The following is a 17,886-nucleotide window of genomic DNA, read 5'->3' as shown; positions in this document are numbered from 1 at the left end:
ACACAGCACAGTCCTACAAAACCACCCACAACTCAGGCCAGGCACCCACGCTGACACAGCACAGCCCTACAAAACCACCCACAACTCAGGCCAGGCGTCCACGCTGACACAGCGCAGTCCTACGAAACCACCCGTAACTCAGGCCAGGCGTCCACGCTGACACAGCACAGTCCTAGGAAACCACCCGTAACTCAGGCCAGGCGTCCACGCTGACAGCATAGTCCTACGAAACCACCTGTAACTCAGGCCAGGCGTCCACGCTGACACAGCGCAATCCTACAAAACCACCCGTAATTCAGGCTAGGCGTCCACGCTGACACAGCTGTACCATCCCGTCAGTTGTCACCACAGAGTTTTTCTTCTCCTCTGGTCAAGAATCTCATGGAAAGATGAGCTACATCCAGCTGTAACATCTCTTCTCTCTCCTCTGGACTGGAACATTTCTTCATACTTCTTTTTCTTGTCCTCAACAGTTCCGAAGAATAAAGGCCTCAAATTCTGAAGGGTGACCCATAACCTGGGTTGTCTGGTATTTCCTCCGGAGACCAGACCATCCTCTATTGGTGGGAATGCCCCAGAAATGCTACTGCTCTGCTTAGCACATCACATCGGAGCACAGAGGTGACCTGTTCTGCCACAGGGATGTTCACCTTAGTCACCTGATTGATTCCTCTTCACTTTGGTCACGTGATTCCTCCAGGAGGATGTTCACCTTGGTCGCCTGATTCCTCCAGGAGGATGTTCACCTTGGTCGCCTGACCACACAGGCATCTATCAGGCTTTCTCACTGCAGCCACTATGTCCCCCATAATGGATGAGTGTCTTGTGGAGAGATAGTCCAAATGACACTGATACCTTTTGCCTCATCCGGCCTCACCCCCCAACAATCAACCACCTAATGACTGCCTCATAGCAGTTTTTCCATTTCCACAGTTCCTTCTATATGTATTAATTGTCATTCTACTATAAAGAAGAGCTTTTTCTTTTACCCAATTCAGGTATCTATGTATTCACTAATTTATAACAATATGGATTCATAGATTTCTTTTTTTTTTTGAGACACAATCTTGCTCTGTTGCCCAGGCTGGAGTGCAGTGGTGCAATCTCGGCTGACTGCAACCTCTGCCTCCCAGGTTCAAGCGATTCTTGTGCCTCAGTCTCCCAAGTAGCTGGGACTATAGGCATGCACCACCACACCCAGCTAATTGTTTTTGTATTTTTAGTAGAGATGGAGTTTCGCCATGTTGCCCATGATGGTCTCAAACTCCTGAGCTTAGGCAATCCACCTGCCTCAGCCTCCCAAAGTGCTAGGATTGCAGGTGTGAGCCATTGCGTCCAGCCATATTCATAGATTTCTATTTTGTTCAGAGGTTTGTATTTTCTGCTAAAATCCTCCCAGACATGGTCATGTTCAAAATGCATTTTTAAAACCTCAACCAGGAATTCTGTATCCAATGAAATTAACATTTTAAAATGAAGACTAAATACATTCACAGAGTAACAGAAACAGAATTCATTGCTAATAGACCTGCCCTACAAGAAATGTAAAGGAAGGCATTTAGGTTGATGCCACACAGTCACTTCAATCTGTTAGAAGGAATGAAGAGCATGGGGAATGGTGAATATGGGATGAGAATAAGAGACTGCGTTGTTCATTATTTTATCTTCTCATTACCTTACAAAACATAACATTGAAGCAACAATGATAACACTGTATTGTTGGAGTTATAACAAATAGATGTAACATAGAGGATAATAAGCACAAAGGAAGAGCGAGGAGATGGAGCAACAGTAGAGCAGAAGATGAGACTCGTTTAAAGCAACCACAGCAAACATAACTCTAAAAACACAGCTGAAAAATCAAGAGGGATTTTTACATGACGTTGTAAAGCATGTGTTAAAGACAATCAAGACAATAGAAGGACAAAGGAGACAGAGGCATTGGAGAATAAATAGCAGAACGGCCAGTGAGGGCTTTCTTCCGGACCCTGTCGATGAGTATATTTTCTCCTTTCAGAAATACCACAATATCTTGGTTACTTTTGCTTTACAGTAAGTTTTGGAATTAGACGGCATAGCCCTCTAACCTTTTTCTTAATTTATCAACATAATTTTGCCTATTCCAGGTTCTCTTCATTTCCATATAAATGTTAGGATAGTGTCAAATTCTACAGAGAAAGTCTGCCAGGATTTTGATATTGATTGAATCTCTACATCGGTGTGGGGAGAATTGCCATCTTCACAGTTTTAACTGTCTCAGTGCTTAGATGTGCTATGTCTCTCCATTGATTAGAGCTTCTTTAGTTTCTCTCAAGAATCCTCAGCAATTTTCACTGTACAGGCCTTGTACTTTCTTGATAGACTTACACTTTAGGTATTTCTTTTTTTTTTTTTTTTTTGAGACAGAGTCTCGCTGTGTCGCCCAGGCTGGAGTGCAGTGGTGCCATCTAAGCTCACTGCAACCTCCACCTCCTGGGTTCAAGCAATTCTTGTGCCTCAGCCTCCCAAGTAGCTGGGATTAATTACAGGCGTGCAGCACCTCACCCGGCTAATTTTTGTAATTTTAGTAGAGACGGAGTTCACCATGTTGACGAGGCTGGCCTCGATCCCCTGGCCTCAAGCCATCCATCCACCTCAGCCTTCCAAAGTGCTGGGATTACAGGTGTGAGCCATTGCACCCGGCCCTAGGTATTTCATTATTTTTTACGGTGGGATTTTCTTCATTTAATTTTTATATTGGTTATAGTTCACATGGTATATCTTTTTCCATCCTTTTATTTTCAACCTGCCTGTGTCTTTGAATCCATGATGTGCCTCTGATAGACAACATATGGTTAGATCTTTTTTTGATCTATTATAATCTATACTTTCTGATTTGATAGTCCATTGATATTTTATATAATTATTAATTTTGTGGTTGGATTTGTGCCTGCTGTCTTGCTGTTTTTTGTTTTATATATGACAGGATTTTTAGTTTATCGGTATCTCCTTAACTGCCTTTGTTTGCAATAAATATTTTTATCATACCATTTTGCTATAGACTGATTTGAGTCCCCCCAAAATTCATATGTTGAAGCCCTAACCTCCAATGTGACTATATTTTGAGTTAGAACCTTTAGGAGGTAAAGTTAAATTAGCCCTAAGCCAATAAGATTCATGTCCTCAAAACAAAACACACTATTCAATGGAGAAAGACACTATTCAGTGGGGGAAAGGACAGTTTTTTTGAGAAATGGTGTTGGGAAAACTGGATATCCACCTGCAGAATAATGAAGTTGGACTCCTTCCTAACACTATGTAGAAAAGTCAATTCAAAATGGATCAAGGACCTAAAACTAAAAAATATAAAACTCTTTTAAGAAAACATAGAGCAAAAGGTTCACAATGTTGGATGTGGCAGTGATTTCCTGGATATGATACCAAAGCACAGGCAACAAAAAAAAAAATTAAACAAATTGACCTCATGAAAATTTTAAATTTTTCCACATCAAAAGATACTATCAATAGAGTAAAAAGGCAACTTGCAGAATCAGAGAAAATATTTGCAAATCATATGTATCTAATAAGGGATTACAATCCAGAATACATAAAGAACTAAAACTTAACAACGAACAACCTGATTCAAAAATGGGCAAAGCCTGGGCGCAGTGGTGCACACTTGTCATCCCATCACTTTGGGAGACCAAGGCAAAAGGATCGCTTGAGCTCAGGAGTTCGAGACCAGCCTGGGCAACATGGTGAAACCCCCATCTCTACAAAAAAACTTAAAAAGTAGTTAGGCATGGGGGCACACACCTGTAGTCCCGGCTGCTCAGGAAGCTGAAGTGGGCGAATTGCTTGAGCCTGGGGGGCAAAGGTTGCAGTAAGTCGAGATTGTGCCACTGCACTCCAGCCTGGGTGACAGTGTGAGACCCTGTCTCAGAAAAAAGAAAAGCGGAGGGCAGCAAATGACTTGAATAGGCAAAGTACACAAATGATCAATAAGCACATGAAAAGATACTCATCGTTCATCGTTAGAGAAATGCAAATCAAAACTATAGCAAGAGCTGGGTATAGTGGCTCATGCATGTAGTCCCAGCTGTTCAGGAGGCTGAGGTGGGAGGATTGCTCGAGCCAAGGAGATGGAGTCCAGCCTGGGCAACATAGCAAGACCTCATCTACAGAGAAAAAAAAAAAACAGCAAGATAGTATCTCATTAGGATGAGATAAACAGCCATTAGGATGGCTACTATATATTTAAAAAATCGCACCTGTAGTCCTAGCTACTTGGAACACAGAGGCAGGATTGCTTGAGCTCAGGAGGTCAAGGCTGCAGTGAACTATGATTGCATCACTGCACTCCAGCCTGGACGACAGAGTAAGATCCTGTCTCTTAAAAACAAAAACAGGCCGGGCACGGATGTCTGTAATCCCAGCACTTTGGGAGGCTGAAGTGGACAGATCACTTGAGGTCAGGACTTCAAGACCAGCCTGGCCAACATGATGAAACCTGTTTCTACTAAAAATGCCAAAACTAGCCAGGTGTGGTGGCACACACCTGTAGTCCCAGCTACTTGGGAAGCTGAGAGGCCGAGGTGGAGCTGAGCCTAGGAGTTCCAGACCAGCCTGGGCAAAACCCCCTCTCTACAAAAAATTATCCAGGCTGGTGGCGTAAACCTGTGGTCCCAGCTTCTCAGGATGCTGAGGTGGGAGAATTGCCTGAACCTGGGAGGTCAAGGCTGCAGTGAGCAGTGATCATACCACTGCACCCCAGACTGGTTGACAGAGTGAGACCCTGTCTCAAGAAAAAAGAAAACGAGAGAGGAGAATGGACAAAGAAGTAATCACATAGTTGAAGTCTGTGGATGCAGCTTTCCTCAAAGTATTTTTATGAAGATGGTTAAACCTGAAACAAACTTCAGAATTATTTGGTCTGCAGATGTTTTCCTTTAAATAAATGTTTATTGTAATCATTTTTAAAAACCCAAAATAACAAGTGTTGTTAAGGACGCGGAGGAATTGGAAGCATGTGCACTGTTGGTGAGAATGTGAAATGGTGTGGCTGCTGTGGAAAACAGTGTGGCCTTTCCTCCAAAACTTAAAAACACAATTCCCAGATGATGCTGCATTTCAATTCAGTACTCAAAAGGATTGAAAGCAGGGTCTCTAAGAGATGCTTGTATACCCAAGATCGTAGCAGTATTATTCACAGTGTCTAAAACATGGGAGCCATCTAAGTATCCATCAGATGAATGGATAGGCACAATGTGTGTCTCCGTACAGTGGGCTATGATTCAGCCTTAAAATGGAAGGAAACTCTGGCACACGCTACCGCGTGGATGAACATTGAGGACGCTATGCTAAGTGCATAAGCCAGTCGCAGAAACACAAATGCTGTGTGAGTCCATGTGTGTGAAGTAGTCAAGATCGTAGAGACGGAAAGTAGGATGGTGGCTGCCAGCGGCTGTGGGATGGAGGGGTGGGAAGCTCTCGTTTAATGGGAGTTTCACAAAATTTCAGTTTCACAAAATGAAAACAGTTATAGAGATGGGTGGTGTGATGGTTGCACAGCATCAGGAATGTATTTAATACCAGTGAACTGTACACTGAAAATGGTTAAGGTAGGAAACTGTATCATCATAAATTTTCAAAAAACAAAAGAGACACCAGGGAGCTTGCTTACTAACTCTGCACACACACAAAAGAGGCCGTATGAAGACAGAGTGAGAAGGCTGCTGTCTGCAAGCCAGGACCCCCATCAGCCAGCATCTTGATGGACTTGCCAGTCTCCAGAACTGCGAGAAATAAACTTCTGTTGTGTAAGCCACCCAGTCTGTGGTATTTTATTACAGAAGCCCAAGCAGACTAATACACGTTTTAGTTCTCCTGTTGATACTTTATCTGTGTGCTTTATTATTTCAGTGATTCCTCTAGAGATTACAACATGCATCTTGAACTCACCACAGTGAACACTCACTGAGGTGAACACCGACTGAATTCCAGTGGAACGTAACCACATTGCTCCATATAGCTCCGCTTCCTCCCACCTGCTTTGTCATATGTATTTATGTACATATATATGGGATCTATGTGTTATAAATCTAACAATATGGTGTTGTCATTATTTCCTGAATTAAACTTATGTTTCTTAAAGACCTTAAGAGGAAAAAAATCTTTTATTCCATCATTCACAACATATTAACCATTTCCAGTTTTTTCTTGCAGGGAAGATTGGCTAGAAGTCAGTTCTCTTCATTTTTTTTTTCCATATTTGAATGTCTTTGTCTTCATTTTGAAGGATAATTTCACTGAAGATACATTTTCTTGGTTGACTTTTTAGCACTTGGTATATATGTCATTCCTCTGTCTTCTGGCTTCCATTATTATTAATATTGGTTTTTTTCATTTTTTTTTTTTTGAGACTGGGTCTCTGCCACCCAGGCTGGAGTGCAGTGTCTTGACCATGGCTCACTGCAGCCTGGACCTCCTGGGCTCAATCAATCCTCCCACCTCAGCCTCCTGAGTATCTGGGACTGTAGGCATGCACCACCACACCTGGCTAATTTTTCTTTTTTCTTTTTTTTTTTTTTTTTGAGACTGAGTCTCACTCTGTTGCCCAAGCTGGAGTGCAATGGTGTGATCTCACTGCAACCTCCACCTCTGGGTTCAAGTGATTCTCCTGCCTCAGCCTCCTGACGAGCTGGGATTACAGGTGCGCACCACCACACCTGGCTAGTTTTGTAGAGATGGGGTTTCACCATGTTGGCCAGGCTGGTCTCAAACTCCTGACCTCAGGTGATCTGCCCACCTCGGCCTCCCAAAGTGCTGGGATTACAGGCATGAGCCACCGTACCCAGCCATTTCCATTATTTCTGATGAGAAGTCAGCTGTTAATCGTATTGTCCTGTAGGTGATGAGTTGCTCTTCTCTTGCTGCTTTAAGTATTTTTCTTTTTGTCTTTCACTTACTAAAGCTTTATAGTAACTTTTGAAATTATGAAGTGTGAGTTTTCCAACTTTGTTCTTTTTTGAGATTGTTTTGCATATTTTGAGTTCCTTGCATTTCCATATGAATTTTAGGATCAACTTTCCCATTTCTGCTGACAAAGCAGGTTGAAATCTCGGTAGAGTTTTAATTCACCTTGTACATCAATGTAGGGGGTATTGCCATCTAATACTAACACTGCATCTTCCAATCCATGAATGTTGGACATAGCTTTACCTTTATTTAGGTCTTTGATTTCTTTCAACGGTATTTTGCAGTTTTCAGTGAAGAAATCTTGCACTTCATTGGTAAAATTTATTCCTAAGTATTTTGTTATTTTGGTGCTACTATAAATAGAATTGTTTTGTAACTTTTATTTTCAGGTTTTCATTGCTAGTATGTAGAAATACAACTGATTTTTATAGATGGATCTTGTATCCTGCAATCTACTGAGTTTATGAGCTCTGGGGATTTTTTTTGTGGATTCTCTAGGGTTTTCTGTATATGGCAAATCATGTCATCGGCAAGTGGAGGTTGTTTTACTTTTTCCTTTCCAACCACGATGCCTTTTATTTATCTTTTACTTTTATTTTTATCTTTTCACTTCCCGTCCCACTGCAGGACTTTCATTTGTTTTTCTCGCCTAACCGCCCTCTCTGGAACTTTCAATACAGTGTTGAATACAAGCGGCAAGAACAGACATCCTTGTCTTTGTTCTGTTCCTGATCTTAGGAGGAAACTTTCAGCCTTTCACCATGAAGGATGGTGTTCACTGAGGGTTTCCTGGAGGCGCCCTTTATAGGGTTGAGAAGTGCCCTTCTAGTCCTTTTTTGTCATGAAGAAGGGTTAAATTTTTCAAGTGCTTTCTCTTTCTCTTTTGAGATGATTATTGGGTTTTGTTCTGTTACCATGATGTGTTCATAGATGTAATTACTTCCATTGATAGAATATATTAATATGGTGTTGATTTCTGTATGTTGAAGGAACTGTGCATTCCTGAGATGAATCCCGGTTGGTCGTGGTGTATGATCTTTCTTATACGCTGCTGGATTTTGTTTGCTGGTATTTTGTTGAGGAATTGTGTGTCTGTATTCATAAGAGATACTGGTCAGCACACTTCTTTCCTTGTAACGTTTCTGTCTGCTTTTGGTGTCAGGACCTCATTCTGTCCTCATAGAATGAGTTAGAAAATGTTCCCTTCTTGGTTCTTTTTTCTTTAGCATTTCTGTTTTTGTGTTGAAAGCCCTGTGCCTGGAGTCACTATCATCATATTTTCCTTTAATTCTTTGGCTCATTTACGGTAGCCGCTCTGGAGTCCTTAGGAAATGCGATCTGGGCCGCACAGCGTGGGCCTCTGCCATCTGCCCTTTTCCCTGAGTGTGGTCACGCTTCTGTTTCTTTGCTTATCCCATAATTTGGGGCTGCAATCTGGACAACCTGGGTACTGTATTTGTCCCAGCAAGTCTGGATTCTTGTATTTTTATCCAAGGTTGTTTGATTGGTTTTTGTTTGCTTGGGTATTTTACCTGGACCTAAGCTGGAGAATCTGTGTCCACGGCAGCCGCAGATGTGTCCGCTCATGGTTTCTGCTCTTTTCTTGTTGAGCTGAGATGTCCCGGGGTGTCCGCCTGTCTTTACAGCTCAGCGGTTGGCCGCTGCTCTGTCTGTGGTTGTGCTCCAACACCACGCATCCCTGAGGCTCCCCATGGCCAATGATCTGTGCATGTGGGGAGCCGATATCCAGTCAGTTCCTGGTCCCCTGTGGCATCACTTCTGTGGCCGCGCTGGATCCCCCTGCACAGGCCTGTGCTGCTTCTGTCGGCCAGGGTTCCAGGGAAGCTGCCTCTGTCTGGCTCTCTTGTTCTCAGCATTTCCCCGTTATTTTTCTGACTGGTCCCTGCCCTCCTTACCCCTCCCCAGCCAGGACTGTGGGCCTCTCCAGGTCCTGCAGATGGACCCCTCGTGGCTGATGAAAGCGTTCCCCTCCCACCTTGAGCCCACCCCCTCTGGAAGCAAGGCTGCTGGTCCTCAGCTACCCACCCTGGTGCAGCTGTGCTCTTGCTGGGTAGAGTGGGGTAGGGGGAGGTGGAGCAGCTGCTTATATGCTGCTGGATTTGGTTTGCTGGTATTTTATTGAGGAATTTTGTGTCTGTATTCACCCTCAGGCTGGGAAGCCAAGTCCCGCTCCTCCCAAAGCTGCAACGGGATTTCAGGAGTCAGTGTGTTCTGATTTCAGGAGTCAATGTTTTCTGATTTGTTGTCTGCCTTGAATTGATTTCCAGAGGCCTGAATGGTTGTTTCTACCATTTTGTCCAGTTTCGCACTTGGCTTCGTAGAGATAACTCATTGATTTCTACTCCACTGTAGCCAGCAGTCCTCCTCAACAAGCACTCATTGAATGAGTTGTTGAACGGCAGGTCCTGGACCCCTCACATGCTGGAGTGGCAGGCGGGCCATCTGTGCGTTGTCTGCCCTGCAGACTCACTGAGCAGTGTGTGGGGCTGTCTGACCTGTCAGCAGGGGCGCAGGGCGCTCACTCTTCAGTACGCGGTCCCCTCCAGAACACAGCACAGTGGATCTGGCATCACAGGGAAACAGGCTGCTGGGCATCCAGATGGTGAAATTTACTCTCTTCAAATGTCAGCATGTTTCAGTTAAATTTTTCAAATGGACATCTTTGTGAAACACATTAAATAGCATTACTCCCCTGAACGGAGACCGCTGCGCTGGAAGATGTTGTGGGAATGGTTATCCCTCTGGTCACCTGCTTCTTAGTGGGACTGAAACATGGCGCCCCCTTGGCACCCTGAGGAGCTCCTCCCACCTCAGGGCTGCGGTGCTCTCGAGAGCTGGCCTAGCTCTGGGTGGCTTTCGGGCCTTCCTCTAGCATCCCTGGCGGCCCCTTTCTCCGAGTTACTGCTCTTCAGGATGACGCCTGGTGTGACTTGATTCTCAGCAGAACCTGAAGGACTCCTCAGGATTCTCCAAGCCCTGTGGGACACACAGCGGGCTGATCGGCAGGGGTCTTTCGGGTCTGAGATCCCATGGCCCACACTTGGCTCTCTTGAGCACTGCTTGCCAGACCCTGGGTGAATTGTTGGCCTCTTGGGTCCTCAGTCTCTTCATCTCTGTTGATAATAGTTATCTTGAAAAATTTCCATTGAGTAAATAGGAAACAATTTCTTTTTTCTTTTTTTTTTTTTTTTGATGGAGTTTCGCTCTTGTTGCCCAGGCTGGAGTGCAATGGTGTGATCTCAGCTCACTGCAACCTAACCTCCGCCTCCCAGGTTCAAGTGATTCTCCTGCCTCAGCCTCCCTAGTAGCTGGGATTACAGGCATGCGCCACCACGCCTGGCTAATTTTGTATTTTTAGTAGAGACAGGGTTTCTCTGTGTTGGTCGGGCTGGTCTTGAACTCCCGACCTCAGGTGATCCACCCGCCTTGGCCTCCCAAAGTGCTGGGATTACAGGCATGAGCCACCACACCCAGCCTACAATTTCAACTGACCATATAGTATTGAGCATAAGTTACTTAACAAAAGATACCTGCCATCGTTATTATTTGTGGTTCTGTGTGTTCAATGTACAGGGTTTTGTTTTAATCACTGGTGTGAGGCTGACGGATGAGGAGGCAACGGCTATGAGGAAAGGAGTTTCCACTCATAGTTCCCCAGAGACCCCCAGGGAGGGAGTGAGGGGAGACCTAGCACCTTGGTTGTGGTTCTCATGGGAGGATCAGGCAGGGTGAGTGGAACAGGCCGCCCAGGCTTGGGGTTGGCTCTGAACACGGGCTCTGGATTTGTTGGCTTTCATATCAGAAGTGTGCTCACCGTGGCCTCCTGCCTCTAGGAACTGGCTGTCCCTAGGAGGGCAGTCTCTGCAGGGTCCACAAGCCTCCAGATGCCAAACCGTGATACAAGACAGAAGTGAAGGCAGCACTCACACAGCCTAGTAAGACAGCTTTCCTTCTTGCTCTTAGCTGTTCTTTGGAGCCTTCTCAGGGTCACCTGCAGACTGAGGAGTTACGATGCCTCCCGCAGGCAGCATCCTCACAAGGTCTGCACAGCCCCGGGGCAAAGACAAGACCCCTGTCGGGGGCACGGAGGCTGCCTTGTGCTCGGGGCCTCCTGCCCCACAAGCCGGCAACCCCCCGACGTGCCGCAGCAGGCAGGGCACTGGCCAGTCACAGTCACTGCGCTGGGGAAGCCTAATGCTTGGGCTCCCTCACTGGGTGGGTTTCCCATCCTGGGGTCCAGGAGCAGGTGTTGCTTGAGAACTCAGTCGTCACATCTCCCCTTTCATGTTACAAGGCGCCTGGAGAAAGCAAACACGGGTGGGGCACTGAAAGAAATTCTGGACGCGCTTTTGCCCTTCCGGCAGTTCTCAGGGTAGCAGGAGCCAAGGCTTGGGAGAGGCGGGGGAGGAAGCTCGTGCTCCAGATGCTCATTGAGTACCTGTGTATGCCAGGCACAGTCCGCATGCCCACAGCTGCCCCCGTGACGGGCAGGCTCCCCTCGCAGAGCCCACGGGCCGAGGGCCCCTCAGTGAGGCTGAAACTCAGCTGGGACTGGCCAGTTCGTTTCCAGGTCTTGCTATCCAGCTGCTGATGATTCAGATGGCTTACATATTCTCTAAGCTGCAGAGGTGCATAAAGGTAGAAAGATTAAAATGTAGGATATTTACGCCCTCATGTGGAAGACCCAGGGCTTCTCAGAGTGTCGTGTTGGCACCAGGGCTGCCCGCAACCTAAGAGGACCCCGCGTGCCTGTGTGGCTCTGCCTGCCACTGCCCTCGTGGCAGGGAGGCAGTGACAGCTACGGAGAAGCTCAGCAGGCTGGCCTGGTCGTCGTCCTCAAAGCACCGTGATGTGTTAACATGAACGACTCATGTTTTATTCTTGTTCCACCACAGGCAGCGTCTCCTCCCTGGGCCCCGAGCATCCCGGCCTGACAACGAGTCAGAGGAGCATGGGAAAGCCTCTCAGGTAGTGCCCCCCCGCAAGCACCTTCTTCACTGCGTTCTAACCCCCGCAAGCACCTTCTTCACAGCGTTCTAACCCCCGCAAGCACCTTCTTCACAGCGTTTTAAAGGAAATTGTCAGCAAAATAAAACTGCTCATCATCCCACTCACCAGAGAGAATTAGTGCTAAAAATTTAATATGTTGCTTTTCATCCCTGTTTTTACACGCTTTGAGTCAGGTTTTGTTGTATATACCACTTTAGAGTTTGCTTTTTTTTTTTTTAGCCGGAGTCTCACTCTTTGTTGCCCAGGCTGGAGTGCAGTAGCACCATCTTGGCTCACCGCAACCTCCGCCTCCTGGGTTCAAGTGATTCTCCTGCCTCAGCCTCCCGAGTAGCTGGGATTACAGGCATGTGCCACCACACTCGGCTAATTTTGTATTTTTAGTAGAGGGGTTTCACCATTTTGGTCAGGCTGGTCTCGAACTCCCGACCTCAGGTGATCTGCCTGCCTCGGCCTCCCAAGGTGCTGGGATTACAGGCGTGAGCCACCATGCCCAGCCAGGAGTTTGCTTTTTTGAAGCTAAGATATAACGTAGGCATTTGCCCTGTTGCTAAAAACTTCAAAAGTACCACGTGGTGACTGCGTGCTGTTCTACCACAGGAATAGGCCGTGGGTCAGCAGGCGTCTTCTATAAAGGGCAGGTAGTAAATATGTTTGGTTTTTGGGGCAGCTGCTCAGCTCCACCTCTGTATTGAGAAGGCCGGGGCAGGCAGTGTGTAAATTAATGGGTGTGGCTGGGTTCCAGTAAAACTTTATTTACAAAAACAGGTGGCAGGCTGGACTCAGCCCCAGCCCCGGAACAGACCACAGTTCACCTCCCCCTGCTCTTCTCAGACCTCTGGGTGGCCTCCCACTCCGTCTGCTGCATATTTAAGCACACACCGACGTCTCTGTCAACCGAACTCGTGTGTTCAAAGGTCCGGTGGTCTCGCTAAAAGGCAGACCCTCCCATGTCAGCCCCCCAGAGCCCTTGAGTGGCTTTTGATGCCTGCAGTCCAGTCCACCCCTGGCTGCCTGCAGGCCTCAGCGTTCTCTCACGCCCCCACCTCCCGTCCCCGCTGGCCTGGGTTGTCGACCCTCCTGGGTGCCCACGGGCCCTGCAGCATCGGTCCACATCTTCTGCTGGCCGCCGGGCGGGGGTGTGCGTGCTGCTCCGAGGTTCTCAGAGATGCCTTTGAATCCAGGCCTTTAAAACCACAAAACGGCCAGTGCTGTAACTACCGTGTCACCAGAGATGCTCCGAGCATTCATGATGTTGTGTTTCTTGAATTTATTAGGATTCCACCTCTGCAAATTCCCTACAAGGGACCCCCACTAACGCCAACACCACAGTTACCAGGGAGAGCAGGAAGAGGGGACTCTCCAAGCTTCGGGGGCTCCCAGGCCAGGCTGCCCCCCCGGCCGCCCATCAGCATCCCCAGCCTGCTGCAGAGGCAGTGTTTAGGCAAGTGCTCAGCCAGCCTCAGGAAGAAAATGCTCTTGGGAAAGTGCGTGTGTAAAGAAGCTCTTTAACTGAGTGTGTGCCAAGGGCAGCCATGGAGCTCTAAACGTTCTCAAGAGTTGTGTTTCTGAGTTTTGCCTTAGTTGTTCAGAAACGCAGTAATGTTCACTTTTATATTCATTGTGAATTTCGAAAATTATGACTTAAACATATTGATAATACTCTGAAAATACTAAGATGACATCTGAATTTTTTAAAATACACATTTTAGTGAATAAACTCTTCTCCCCACCTTATTTTTTGTATGTAACATGTGCACCCTCATTTTCCTCAACAGTGTGAAGTTTTGAAGTCATTTCAAAGACAAAGTTGTGTTTTTACCGCGACTTCCATGCCTCCTGCGGGACCTGCTCACCTTGGGGCAGTGACACCTGAAAGATGAGCACCCAGCCACCCGCTCTGCCCCCTTCCAGTCCTCCAGCCTTCGTGCCCACCAGCATGTGTACGTTAGACAGCCAGTGCGACTGTACTTTCCCTCTTGTTGAAATAATTAAGTAATGTAGTGGAATAAAGTATTTTTCTGATTATCAGGACGAGCATACATGTGATATGTTTGCAACTTTACTCTTAACTTGGAACTTCCTTAAAATGTTGATGCTGGAGGCAAAACGAACACCTGCCTGTTGAGTTCCTGTTAGAAGGTTCCGGCTGCAGCTCGCGGGGGAGACAGGGCTGCTGTGGGGTGCGCACGCAGCGTGGGTCGGCGCCGCCACATCCTGCGTTAGGTGATTACTACGCATTCTGGTCACACAGTACTCACAGCGGGCCTGTGATGCCGGCTTCAGCGGGTGAATCTCCGTCAGGTCCAGAGATGAATTCCGGGCCTGAGCTCACCCTGCAGATGCGGCCTGCGTGGGTGGAGCCTCCTCATCCGTCAGGAGGGTGGGGTCTCCTGCAGGAGACGCCCCCGTGCACGTGGCTCCCAGAGAGTCTCAGAGCCCAGGTCTCTCCCGCCAGCCGGGACCACACAGGGTTGGAAAAGAGGCTTATGGGGTTAGTTCTAATCTTTTAGTTTGCATTTACCTAAAAAGTGTCAAAGAACTTTGTTATCTCACTCGAGTTAACCGAGTTAACAGCAGCCGACCACCACGTGAAGCAGGAGAATCCTCACCTTCACTGCAGGCGGAGCTGAGGCACTGCCGGGCTGCACACAGAGACTTTATTTCAGGTGAGGCGTCCCTGCCTTCACAGCAGCCTCCCAGGCGCCTCCCCTGGGCCCTCCAGATGCCAGGATGCCTGGGCTGCTGGACAGAGGGTGCCCATGTCCTTCTGGAAGTCATGGCATTCATGGCTGTCCCGGATTGACTGTCCCCTCTGGGAGCTGACTATCCCCTCCGGGAGCTGACTGTCCCCTCTGCCGGGAGCTGACTGTCCCCTCCAGGAGCTGACTGTCCCCTCTGCCAGGAGCTGACTGTCCCCTCTGCTGGGAGCTGGCTGTCCCCTCTGTGAGTTGACTGTCCCCTCCGGGAGCTGACTTTCCCCTCCGGGAGCTGACTATCCCTTCCGGGAGCTGACTTTCCCCTCCGGGAGCTGACTGTCCCCTCTGGCAGCTGACTGTCCCCTCCGGGAGCTGACTGTCCCCTCTGCCAGGAGCTGACTGTCCCCTCTGCTGGGAGCTGGCTGTCCTCTCTGTGAGTTGACTGTCCCTTCCGGGAGCTGACTATCCCCTCCGGGAGCTGACTGTCCCCTCTGCCGGGAGCTGACTGTCCCCTCCAGGAGCTGACTGTTCCCTCTGGGAGCTGACTGTCCCCTCTGCCAGGAGCTGACTGTCCCCTCTGCTGGGAGCTGGCTGTCCCCTCTGTGAGTTGACTGTCCCCTCCGGGAGCTGACTGTCCCCTCCAGGAGCTGACTGTTCCCTCCGGGAGCTGACTGTCCCTTCCGGGAGCTGACTTTCCCCTCCGGGAGCTGACTGTCCCCTCTGGCAGCTGACTGTCCCCTCTGGGAGCTGACTGTCCCCTCTGCCAGGAGCTGACTGTCCCCTCTGCTGGGAGCTGGCTGTCCTCTCTGTGAGTTGACTGTCCCCTCCGGGAGCTGACTTTCCCCTCCGGGAGCTGACTGTCCCCTCTGCCGGGAGCTGACTGTCCCCTCTGCTGGGAGCTGACTGTCCCCTCTATGAGCTGACTATCCCTTCTGGGAGCTGACTGTCCCCTCCGGGAGCTGACTATCCCCTCTGGGAGCTGACTTTCCCCTCTATGAGCTGACTATCCCCTCTGGGAGCTGACTGTCCCCTCCGGGAGCTGACTGTCCCCTCTGGCAGCTGACTGTCCCCTCCGGGAGCTGACTGTCCCCTCTGCCAGGAGCTGACTGTCCCCTCTGCTGGGAGCTGGCTGTCCTCTCTGTGAGTTGACTGTCCCCTCCGGGAGCTGACTTTCCCCTCCGGGAGCTGACTGTCCCCTCTGCCGGGAGCTGACTGTCCCCTCTGCTGGGAGCTGACTGTCCCCTCTATGAGCTGACTATCCCTTCTGGGAGCTGACTGTCCCCTCCGGGAGCTGACTATCCCCTCTGGGAGCTGACTTTCCCCTCTATGAGCTGACTATCCCTTCTGGGAGCTGACTGTCCCCTCCGGGAGCTGACTGTCCCCTCTGCCAGGAGCTGACTATCCCCTCTGCTGGGAGCTGGCTGTCCCCTCTGTGAGTTGACTGTCCCCTCCGGGAGCTGACTTTCGCCTCTGGGAGCTGACTGTCCCCTCTGCCTGGAGCTGACTGTCCCCTCCGGCAGCTGACTGTCCCCTCCGGGAGCTGACTGTCCCCTCTGCCAGGAGCTGACTATCCCCTCTGCTGGGAGCTGGCTGTCCCCTCTGTGAGTTGACTGTCCCCTCCGGGAGCTGACTTTCCCCTCTGGGAGCTGACTGTCCCCTCTGCCGGGAGCTGACTGTCCCCTCTGCTGGGAGCTGACTGTCCCCTCTATGAGCTGACTATCCCCTCTGGGAGCTGACTTTCCCCTCCGGGAGCTGACTTTCCCCTCCGGGAGCTGACTGTCCCCTCTATGAGCTGACTATCCCCTCTGGGAGCTGACTGTCCCGTCCGGGAGCTGACTGTCCCCTCCGGGAGCTGACTTTCCCCTCCGGGAGCTGACTGTCCCCTCTATGAGCTGACTATCCCTTCTGGGAGCTGACTCTCCCCTCCGGGAGCTGACTGTCCCCTCCGGGAGTTGACTGTCCCCTCTGGGAGCTGACTACCCTTCTGGGAGCTGACTGTCCCCTCTATGAGCTGACGCTCCCCTCCGGGAGCTGACTCTCCCCTCCGGGAGCTGACTGTCCGCTCTACCGGGAACTGACTGTCCCCTCCGGGAGCTGACTATGCTCCAGAAACTCGTGCTGAAATCAGATATGCAAAAATCTTGTAGTAGCGTGCATGTTCTAAGTTGGTTTCATTCCCAGAAATTTCAAATCGTAAAATCATGAATGGAATTATGGCACTGGTGCTGCATTCCCTGTATGTGCTATGTGATATGCGCATGAGGGCTTCACACGTCCAGCTGCAGGCTACATGTGAAATACAGGCGGTAGGAATCGCTTCTCTTACCGCAGCTGCCGTTCTCACGGTTTACCTCGCAGGGCTCAGCTCAGTCTGCAGCGGCCGCCTTGGTTCTCGCAGGTGGACTTGCTGGAGCTGATCCTGCAAAGGAACGTGGCCGGGGCTGTCCTCATGCCTGTGGTGTTCCTTAGGGGACTTCTTTGAAAACTTTGCCAAGAAATATTGCCCCGGGGCTGCCCGCCACTGCCTCACCCTCTCTCCAGGCAGCCCCGGGCCCTTCTGTCTGGGGGCTGATGAGTGGTCCCTGATTTTAAAATTGCAATTTCTTCCATCACTTCACCTTTCTAGACATAAACTTGAAGCCATACTTGTAGCATTTCCTGTTCTTTATTGTTGTTGTTTTTCACAGTTGAGCCTGCATTTGGCCAGGGTCCACCCTGCAGCACCTGGTTCTGTCCAGACATTCGCTAGGGGCAGCCCTTGCGCCTCGATTTGCCACTGGCCCACCTCAGCACACCTTTCTTTGTTTTCCAGTGATTGTCACCAGAAAAGTCACAATTTAGTAAAACATCCAGACAGTGGCACAAGCTTACTCCGTGGATGGAGGTGACAGCACTGCCGAGGCGGAACTCCCGCCTGTCCTCATGCAGTGCATGAAAGCCCACGTTCAGCCCAGGAACAGCAGCGCAGGGCCTGAGGGATGATGTGTGAAGGCACGAGCTGTGTGAAACAAGACTGTGAAAGCCCAGGGCCAGCCGTGGGGTCATAATGGAGCAGCAGAGACTGGCAGGGGGGCAGGACCACGGAGGGGCAGTGCCCTCAGCTCTTCATGCGCGTCCTGGGCTAGAAGTGGGCGGCACCTTTTCTGCAGGCTCTGCCACTCCCACGTGTGGGTGTACAGCAGCCAAGCCTTTCCCCCACCCC

At 49.4% G+C, this 17,886-nt stretch overlaps 1 protein-coding gene across 8 annotated transcripts in view, besides 1 other annotated feature; it reads left to right on the top strand.

The window, feature by feature from the left end:
- Positions 1-14,016, top strand: part of RNF212 (ring finger protein 212) — a 57,460-nt gene extending 43,444 nt beyond the window's left edge. For 3 of the 8 annotated variants that reach the window (XM_011513446.2, XM_047450083.1, NM_001366919.1), the window contains 3 exons: positions 11,874-11,946; positions 13,263-13,429; positions 13,764-14,016. In XM_011513446.2, coding sequence (XP_011511748.1) covers positions 11,874-11,946; positions 13,263-13,429; positions 13,764-13,768 — 245 coding nt within the window. In that variant the 3' untranslated portion in view covers positions 13,769-14,016. Of the gene's footprint in view, positions 1-11,873; positions 11,947-13,262; positions 13,430-13,763 lie in introns of those variants that run through there. The other 5 variants (XR_007096392.1, XR_924937.2, NM_001366918.1 and 2 more) reach the window with 4 other exon arrangements.
- Positions 16,633-17,502: an enhancer, noted in NCBI's record as "H3K4me1 hESC enhancer chr4:1046553-1047422 (GRCh37/hg19 assembly coordinates)". NCBI's record gives its function as "activates a minimal SCP1, AML or CMV promoter by ChIP-STARR-seq in primed H9 embryonic stem cells {active_cell/tissue: H9 hESC(primed)}" and the evidence as "EXISTENCE:reporter gene assay evidence [ECO:0000049][PMID:30033119]".

Source organism: Homo sapiens, chromosome 4 (genome assembly GCF_000001405.40).
Source record: "Homo sapiens chromosome 4, GRCh38.p14 Primary Assembly".
Classification (NCBI taxonomy): domain Eukaryota; kingdom Metazoa; phylum Chordata; class Mammalia; order Primates; family Hominidae; genus Homo; species Homo sapiens.
Note: the sequence above shows the minus strand (reverse complement) of the source record. Positions and strands in the feature narration are given on the sequence as shown.